At 31.4% G+C, this 10,410-nt stretch overlaps 1 annotated feature.

Annotated features, from left to right (window-relative positions):
- Positions 1,251-2,450: an enhancer, noted in NCBI's record as "MED14-independent group 3 enhancer chr4:35521513-35522712 (GRCh37/hg19 assembly coordinates)". NCBI's record gives its function as "activates an origin of replication core promoter dependent on BRD2, BRD4, P300/CBP and CDK7 cofactors, and independent of MED14, by STARR-seq in HCT116 cells {active_cell/tissue: HCT116}" and the evidence as "EXISTENCE:reporter gene assay evidence [ECO:0000049][PMID:35650434]".

Raw genomic sequence — 10,410 nt, 5'->3', positions numbered from 1 at the left:
TGAGATCACAGGGAAGAAACTGAGAGACATCGGTATTCTGAGTGAATGAGGGTTAATATGACTATTTAATCAAAATAACATTAAAGGAAGAATTACATATCATACACCAATAAGTTTCTCTTTAAAATATTTATTTCTGTATAAGACAATGAGAAATAAATTCAGCTATGAATCACTGATAGAAAATCAGAAAATATAAATCAATAATAAACAGGTTTACATTCACAAATAATATTGCTTTAGAAATGTCTATGCTAATTTCTCACTGTCTGTAATTAATGTTTCCTTTAATAATCAACTCACTTTGGCAACGAACTATGTGGTATTTATATATTTTTTAAAATCTGATACACAGTACACCTAATTTAAGTGCAGTAGTCTGTTGTAGCCCAAAGCTTTTATCATTGCTTTTGTGATATTTCAGACTGATAGGATGTCTCCTGTCACTCAGAATGATCTTGCACAGTCTTGTTTTGAGTAGTTATGCATATGAAAAATAATCCTTTGTGACAATTTTTCTCCAATTTAAAGCAGCAATTTCTTTTCTATCTGCCTGTTTCATTGATAACTGTCATTGGTGAAAGGGAATTGTCTGTAACCCAATATAGATGAAAATGAATAGTGTTGCAGATTAACTATAAATATAACCCAGCTAGAGAAATTATATCAATTTGAGAAATATTGTTTCTAGAAGAAACACTAATACCAAAGAGGTGAAACACACAGTTTATGATACAATGTAGTATTTTGTCCCTTTAAGAAAATCAAAGCTAACTTAATTTATTCCTCTTTCCATCTTTTTCTCTTCTCTTCTTTTCATTTTTGCATTGTATTGACTAATCTTCATTTCAGTTTATGTGTGTATAAAACCGGGACACCAATCATACTTACCTCACATGATTGCTGAGAGGATTAAATATAGGATGTTCACAATAGTGATTGGCACACAGTAACTGCTGTTTTTGTGCTGTAATGTTATTTCATTATAACCTCATCAATTTCTTATGGGCCATTTGAATACTTTGTACCTTTCAAAACTTCTGATACTTACACTTTGAGTCTGGGACTCTGATTCTGTCTTTTACACTGTGTATGATAGATAGAAATGCTCCCAAAGCTGTCTATGCCCTACTGGCTGAAAGCTGTATATGCTACCTCACATGACAAACATGATGCAGATATGATTAAGGTTAAGGACTTTAAAATCTGGAGAGTATCATGGAGTGTAAGGGTGAATTCTATCTACTCACATGAGGTCTTAGAATACTCTCTGTCAGGAATCAAGTGTGATGCAGCAGAAGGAAAAAGAGAGATATTTTTACTAAGACAACTCAATGGCTGACATCACCACTGGCATTGAACGCCAGAGGCAATAAGCTGAGAGAAAGACAGGCAGAGAGCAAGAGCAAGAACCAGAGAGTGAGGAACAGCGATAGCATAGAAAGAGGAGGAAAGGAGGAAGAGATACATAAAAACCATTCATAACTAGTTAGAAAATAAAAAATCTAGAGGAACACCATTTAAAAGAGCTACAAAAATCTAAAATATTTAAGAATAAAACTACCAAAAATTACAGAAAACATGATTAAAAGAATTGAAAATACATGATTGAAAGACAGTAGATTTCCCTCTGAGGAAAACAAACCAAAAAACAATCCAATAGCAGTAAGTTAGATGGCTTTCAAAGACAAGGCCACTCTGAAAAAAAAAGAATACATCAATGGAGGAAATTTTTTACTACATATCAAGACTATATGATAAAACATACTAATTAGAATCAATCGGTTGCATAGGATTCTAAAAATAGACTAATGTGATGACATAAAGAATCAGAAAGATAACTATATACATATATTAGACTTCAATTTGATAGCAGAAGCATTAATCAGGAAAATACTATTTAATATTTTTTTTCAAAAAAATAAATTGAACAAATATGAAAAGAACAAAATGATAGAGGCAAGAGACAGCCAAAAGCCTAGGAAGGTAGGGAAGTGTTCCTGGAGGATTTCCAACTTGCCCCACAGGTGTTTACACAAGATATTTTGTGCACGTAAGGGAACCTGCACAGCAGGCTTGCCTGGGCATGCCCACAGTGGACTGGAGGCCCACATGCTCTAGGAGAATGGGCTGGAGCCACCAGGAATTTGGTCCTTATGCAGGGGAGGATCCTGGCCTCTTAAACTTGTAGGTGGTAGCCCTGGTATTCAATTTGTGAGGTGGAAACCTGCATGCAGTACCCCTCTCTTTGTTGAGAGCTTTCCTTTCACTTAATAAATTCTGTCCTCCTCACCCTTCAATGTGTCCACGTGCCTAATTTTTCCTGATCATGAGACAATAACCTGGATTTAGGTGATCTCAGAAGCAAAAATCTTGTATTGAAATTAGATATCAAATTGCTCAATATGGTGCAAACATGAAAATTAAATAATTTGGTATTTAGAGAAAAACCTAAGGAAATATCTTTTTACCTTGACAAATGGAAGTATGTGTTAAAAAAAAGCAGAAAGCAAGTATCTTAAAGAACTGATCAATTTTAACATACTCAAAATATAATTGTCATAAAACAAAAGCCCTACTAAATGTTCAAAGAAGAAAAAGACAAATGGATCAGTATCAAAATGGCTATAAAATTATGGACAAACTATAATGAATATTAATTTATATAAAAAAAGAGATAACCGATGATCAAAGAAAGAATTCCTCATGATCAAAGAATGGACTAGTTTAGAGAAAAAAAAAGAAATCCCTAATGCACATGTATCAACCTGGATGTTTTTGCAAAATATTATAAGAAATGGTAATAGCAAGTTGGTAAGAGACAGGATAATAGGACATAACTCATGTGCATTAAACACTTATTCATCAAACTTACCAAGTTTATTATGCAAGATAAATAAGTTCTGGATGTCCGTTATACAGTGTAATAGTGCCTATAGCTAAAAGTACCGTATTGCACACTTGACATTTTTTAATAGAGTAGATCTTAGGTTTTGTTCTTATAATAAAGACAGAAAGAAAGAAAGAAAGAAGCGGTAGGAAACTTTAAGAGGTGATGGATATATCTATACCCATGGTGTGTTGTCATGGTTTCACGGGTGTGTATACTTATTCTCAAACTTATCAAGTTGTATACTTTAAATGACTATAACTTTTTACATGTCAGTTAAACTTTGATAAAATGCTTATGGATATGCATATATTCAATATGTAAAAATATACACTGGAACAACACACATTTTTTTTTCTGAAATGTCTTTTGGGAAATAGAACCAGAAAAAGTATTTATACATATCAATTTTGGGTGATGTATACAACTTGTGGCTATTTTAACAGCCTCTTTACTTTTTATATTTTAATAAAAGTAAAATAGGTGGAGGATAATCTATCAGTCTTTTGTTCCTTTTTACAAGACTATAGTCCCATTAAAAAACACCACAACCCACTTCAATTTTCACTATGAATTGTGGAAAAGTCTGTAGTTTTAAAGTTTGACTTGATTTCTGTGAAAATATTTGTATTCTGAATTGGCTTAAAATTAATTTTTCCTGTTAACCACTGAAAATGTAACATAAACTGAAATTCGCATTTAAAATATTTAATTATTATTCAGTTGAATTCTGCTTTACGTTTGTAAAGCTACAAGAGGCAATAGAAGTTTTATTTTATTCTCAAATAAAAATCTGAAAATTATTCTAATTTTGAGAACTTTTAAGTAATTGACTGATTAATTCATGTGTTCATGATGGCAGTACGCATCTATTGATCTAAGCAGAGTGCTGAGCTTTGGACATCAAACACTGTTTAAGAAATTACTATCATGATTTCTAGACTGTTTAATGTGTTTGGAATATTTTCTATCCATCTTATGTAGACATAAGAAATTATTTTTCTAACTAATGTTGAATATCTGCTTGGGAAAGACCAGGAAAATTTTTACTCTGCAAAGTGACAGGGATTGAAAAGAGATATGTAAGTAACTGTACGACAACTGAAGAGATTGGCAGGTTTATTGAATAAATACATATCTGTTGATTTTAAAATCATTATTATTTTGTCATTGTTAAGTACACCATAAAATGCCATCAAAATGACCTCTTTACTGAGGTTTAATGAAATAATATATGTAAATGATCACATCTGTTCATTATAAAAATTAATACATTTATATTTTTAGAGTAATAAAATTTTTAAATGCTAAAATTCCCAACTCTTTTATTCTTTTATTCATAATAACCAGAATCCTGACTCCTCTAGCAGACAAAATTGTAAAAATGTAATGCGTGTGTGTAATTATAAAATATAAGAGTCATGTTTAAAACAATTGTAATCATTTTCTCTTGACAATAAAAAGTCATAATCACTCATTTTGACAACAAAATGATAGCTTCTTTTCATAGGTGATTCAGATGGTCTAAGAACTTAAGGAATTGCAGTTAAATTACTTATACTTAAATATCATTTATAGAGCATAGATCTGTTCAGATATTTTTATCAATTTTGCAAATGGAATTCAAATGCGTATTTTTAAAAATTTAGGTATGTCAGTTTTAAAACTGACTTGAACAGAAGTGCTATTTACAAATCAAACATCTTTTTAAAGTTGATGTAAAATAAACTCCTCCTAAAAATGGCCTTATATTTTTGCTATGTATTACTATAAAGTATATGATTTTTAACTTGCTATAATTTTTTCTGCTTAATCATATTTTGTGATAAATATAAAAACATTACAGACCTCATTAAATTATCTAGTACTATTTTTTGACTACATATTTTAATATCCATGTAAACTTCAGTGGCAAGCGAGCATTTTTATATAGCTTGAAATTTTTTTGGCTAAGAAAGAAACATCTTTTGTGGGCAATGGACACCCAGGGTTACCACAGAATTAATGTCATGTATTTTAATATGTGTATTTGAAAAATTTTGCCTATGTTCTAGAAAATCTTAAAGATTTGTATTTTGCTATTCTTCAAATATTTAGAGGTGGCTGATATTAATATTTTTTCCCAAGTAAATTTATATTTTTGTCACCAAATTAAGTACATTCTCTTTCAATGAATACTGACAGCATGAATGATATGAGGTGGTAGTCTAAAATATTTAGAAATAAAAGTGTTCTTTGCATTGAACCAATGAAAAGATATTCCATTATTTGCTCATTTTTAGAATTATCATCTTTTTATTTGTTCAATGTTCTCTTATTTTTATGAAACATTTTATTATGATGTCTGTATTAAAATTATTTTTCTGCAAAAAGTTTATATTATGATTAGTCTCTGAAAACAGCAAATATCCATAAGCAAAATTTGTTTCTATTGGAAATAATAAATCACATTTAAAAAAAGAGATGGTCAGAGATAGGATATTCACAATATGACATGTATATTTAGTCATAATCTAAACAACAAATTATTCCCCTGCATTTCAAACCTATTTGCCTTTTAAATAGATGAAATGGGTATCTACTACTGCTATCATCTCAGTATTTAGACAATTTTTATGACAATTAACCGGTGACTGTCACCACACAGGATGCATTTCTATGGAAGGTGTAACATATTTCATGTTGTATGATAGTATAGTACTCAATGATGTATTTTTATGTTGTTTTATAATTTGATAAGAAGAGTTCACCTACTTATCTTAATACTTTTGGATTTTTTTTCATGATATACATGGCATATGATAGTGTGGCCTGATAATTTACTTTGTTTACTTTTTGAGTTTTAGTTTATTAGTCATTTATATTTTCTCATTTATATAATCTATAATCCATCATATACAATTTTAATATAATTATTTCCCAGCTCTCAGATTAAAATCTATTCATGTGAAAAAGCATTTTCTAATTAATAGAGCTAGATGTTTCAATATTCATATTCCACCAAATGGCATACTGCTTCTCATGAAAAGTCACGTGTGTGTGTGAGTGTGTGTGTGTGTGTGTGTGTGTGTCTTCCTCATGGTTGGCTTGGTAAATTTACAACCTTCTCAATTGTGAGACACATGGCCTCCTCATAAATGATTCACAGGATGCCCAGAGGTATAGTTAAAGAGGACAAACTGATGTCATGAATACATTTGTATAAAGCTCTATTAATAATACATTAGTTCTCTCTTGTAGAGCTCAGGATATAGTGCCTAAGTCCAGTAATGGTGAGCATAAAACTAGGCAATTATTTATTAAGAAAATGTGTCTGCCAGCACTTCCTTTCACTCTTTGTAATGATTGCCTCAGAAGAATAATGATGAAAGTACAAGAAGGCATTTAAAATAAATGTTTTACTATACTATTGTTAAAAACCAGATCATCTTTATTAATTTCTATTTTAGTAAATTGTCCTTATTTCTTAATCTTTGCTGGTGGAATACTACTAGAAATTACACATTGTGATAAAAATATGCCAGCAAAGGTGTAGCAAGGAAGAAAATGTTACATTTAACCTTCCATTTAGCAGATGTCTTATACCTTGATGACTTTATAACATGTTTGAGAATCATTTTTATATGTACCTTTTATATGGATATATATAATAGCTGTAGTAATACTTGTAACGTGTTATACACATTTTCCTCAAAGTTGAAATATTTTACCAATCTATCATGAAAATAAAAATGTCCCTAAGAAAAGCAAATCCTCTGATTAAAACAAGTGTCTTAAACACATCAATTTATATCCACAATGTCTGCAAATCACTAAAATGACCATAATGAGATTTTTAAAAGTATTGCCCACAAGGACAAAAACAAAGATGAGGAAAAAATGGCAATATACAATGAGATCTGGAAGGAAGATAAATAAGAATTGGCTTATTTGAACCAAAAGTTTTGAATTCAAGACAAAATGAAAATCAATTTATATCATAAAATTCCAAAACACTAAGGAAGATATGGCTGTGGAGATTTTATGAAGAATTAAAATGAAAAGATTATGTGGCAGCATTTTTAAAGAGGCCAATGGGTCTGTTTTACAGATATGAATTTTCTCTAAATCCCTGAAAGAAGTGTGGAGGTTATACCCTGCAAAGGATAAAAGGGAAGTTCTCCTGATGTCAGGTAAAATAGGGCACTCAGGTGTCACACAAAAGAACAGACATTGAGTATGTAATTTTGAAATGTAAAAGCCACAACCTACTTTCTTCATATGCTAGACAAAACATTTGTAACTAGGAGGTTTAAAATTAATGTAGGATACTGGAAGTTTTCCCTTTAAATGTATTGAACCCAAGAGAAAATGCATAAAGGTAATCTTATGGAGTGTTTGTGTGTTGGGGGAATAGAAAATGGTCTTTTTGGAGCAGTTTCTTAATTTTCTATCACTGAATACAAGTAACAGCTAAGGGTCACCAAGTATTTATGAAAATATCTAAAATCAAAAGCAGAAGTAAAAAAAACAAAAATAAGTACAAATTAAAGAAAAGAGAGATAAGGCTAGAATAATAAAACATTAAAAATTACTGTTAATATTCTTAGCCTCTTAAGTACATGTGATAAAAGAATACTGTATTAAAAACTTACTTGCCCAAAAATGAAAGTTAAAAATATGATAATAGAAATTTTAAATTCTGTAGAAATATTGGAAAATAAAGACACTTTAAAAAGTCTGCACAACTCAGTAACATGAAATTACAAATATTTCATTTTCTAATAACACTTTTTGTGCCTACATACATTATTGATAAATACCATTACAGCTATGTTTTATATTATTTTTATTCACAATGAGATTAATTATAAACATAAAATGTACAAGCCACATAAAAGTTCACATTTTATTCTGGAAGTAATCTTTGACCAGTGTGATTCTGTCTTGCTAACTTACCTTGAATTATATTGTTACCAACCAATATTCAATAGGTAATATTCCAGTTTGGGACACAGCCAAACAGTTTAAAAATATGTGAATTTTATTACTCCATTCTCACACTGCTATGAAGAACTACTTAAGACTGGGTAATTTACAAAGAAAAAAGGTTTAATTGGCTTGGTTCTGTGGGCTGTATAGGAAGCATGACTAGGAGGCCTCAGGAAACTTATAATCTTGGCAGAAGGTGAAAGTGACACAAGCACCTTATTCACATGGTGGCAGGAGAGAGACAGAACGCAAAGTGGGGAGTGCCATACACTTTTAAACTATTAGATCTTGTGAGAACTCACTCACTATCATGAGAACAGCAAGGAGAAAATTTGCCCCCATTGATCCAATCACCTCCCACTAGGCCCCTCCTCCAATTTGACATGAGATTTGGGAAGGGACACAAATCCAAACCATATCATGAAGATATAATGGAAGTACAGATTTAGGTGAGTATTATAAAGGAAATATACATGCGTTATGTTTCTTCTTCATGTAGTTTTCAAGGAAGGCCTCTTGGAGGGGGTGACATTTAGCTGCAGATATAGAAGATGAGAAGAAATTGTTTTGCAAGATGGCGGTGGAATTTTTTTCATGGTTGAGGTATAAATGATGCAAAATCTCCGAGGTGGGAAAAAGCTCAATGTGAAATAGGACTTCAGAAGCCAGTGTGATTAGATTGCTATGAGAACGTATCATGAGATAAGAAAGAAAAGCTCAATAGGGATCAGACCACACAGATTCTTATAAGCCATGGCATGCAGTTTAGGTTTCCTTTTAAGTGAAAAAAAAATCCCCTGGAGACTTTGTAAGGAAATATTATTATTTAATTTGTTTTAAAAATGGTCCTTGTTTTAATCAGTTAGAGCTTCTATGACAAAATACCATAGACTGAATGACATACACAACAGGCATTTATGTCTCTGGTTCTGGAGGTTGGGAAATCCAGGATCATGATGCCAGCAGATTGAATTCCTATTGATGCCTCTCTTCCCAGCTAGCAGATGGGTGCTTTCTTGCTGTGTTCTCATAGGTGGATAGAGAGAGCAAGTTGTTTGATCTGTTTTTAAGAAGGGTACTAATTCTCACTCTCAATAACTCATTTAAACCTTATTGTTGCCCAAAGACCTCACCTCTAACCACCATCTGTTTGGGAGTTAAAACTTCAACATACTGATTTTCGGGGAACACAGTTTAGTTCATAATAGTCACTCTGTATGCTTAGTAGAGAAGTGATTGTGAAAACAACAGAAAGTAAGCAGGAAAAAGTTACATTTTCTTCATATGAAAATTAATAGTTGCTTGGATATTTGCTGATTGAATAGGAGAAGAGAAAGTGATTGATTAAAAATGTAATCTGCGAGTACAACAGAGAGATTTCTAACTGACTGTGGGTGGCTGTTGGACAAGGTAATTCTTTGATCTCTTTGGAATTCATTTGGTTGTGATTTATAATGATTATTGTAATGAAAGGTTTTGTTAAAAAGTTGCTAATTTCATAATCCAGTTGATTATAAAAATCTATATTATCATGCAATTCTTAAAATAATATTATAGATTTATATATATTTAAATTAAATTTTTCCTTCAAGACTTTAATCTGGCCCCAACGACACACTCAGGGATAATAGAGAGCTATTACCTTGTGCATCTGTTTCACTTTTTAAAATATTGCATCTGAACGCGTCTATACTGGTTAGTAAATACCCACTGCCCCAATCCCTAGAGTGTTCACTCTTTCTCAGTCAGAACTTTTGGACTTTCTTGTGATCCAATAATTAGAGAATTAAGCCCTGGCATAATAAGGGGTATTCAAAAGCCTGTTCTAGTTTTATGGTTTAGTACTTGTGTTCACTCAGAATGGAAGATACCCAGTCACATATTTTGCATACCACACAAACCAATTTTATTTAATTTTTCTCCAGCTAAACTTTTCTGGCTAGACCCATTACATCTTTTGAAACCATTTTCTTAATTTATGAAAAATACTTTAATAGAATTTTGTATTGTGATTACAATAAATATGTAGATAAATTTATGAGACAAAATCTTTACAAAACTGTAAATTTTGTGTCAACAACACAGTTCCCTCATATATTCAAATTCCTTCTTAAGTCTCAAAATAAACTTCTGTAATTTTATTCATGTTAAATTCGGCACATTCCTCAATTTTCTAGTGGTTTTTATTTGCTTGTGCTTTATACTTATGAAATTAAATTATTTTATTGGTAAATAATTATCAGTTTACTTCCTTTTTTTCTATACTTATATCTCTTGTGTGTATATTACATACATCGGTGTTTTTGCCAAGAATTTTATGGTATGCTTCTGAGCAGATGAGTGATTGCACTTCTGTACTTCCTTCAAATCAAGTATGACTAGTTGACTGGCTTTGAACAGTATCTGTATATGCCATTTCCAGGTAGGATGTCTAATAGCCAGATAATAGTTGGTCATGTTTCCTACTCGCTGACTCAGTCATCCGTAAATAACATGGAGAGGTGATTGCTACATTAGCCTGGGTACCTGAGTGATTATAATGTCATACG

This window comes from Homo sapiens, chromosome 4 (assembly GCF_000001405.40).
Source record: "Homo sapiens chromosome 4, GRCh38.p14 Primary Assembly".
NCBI classification, from domain to species: Eukaryota; Metazoa; Chordata; class Mammalia; order Primates; family Hominidae; genus Homo; species Homo sapiens.
Note: the sequence above shows the minus strand (reverse complement) of the source record. Positions and strands in the feature narration are given on the sequence as shown.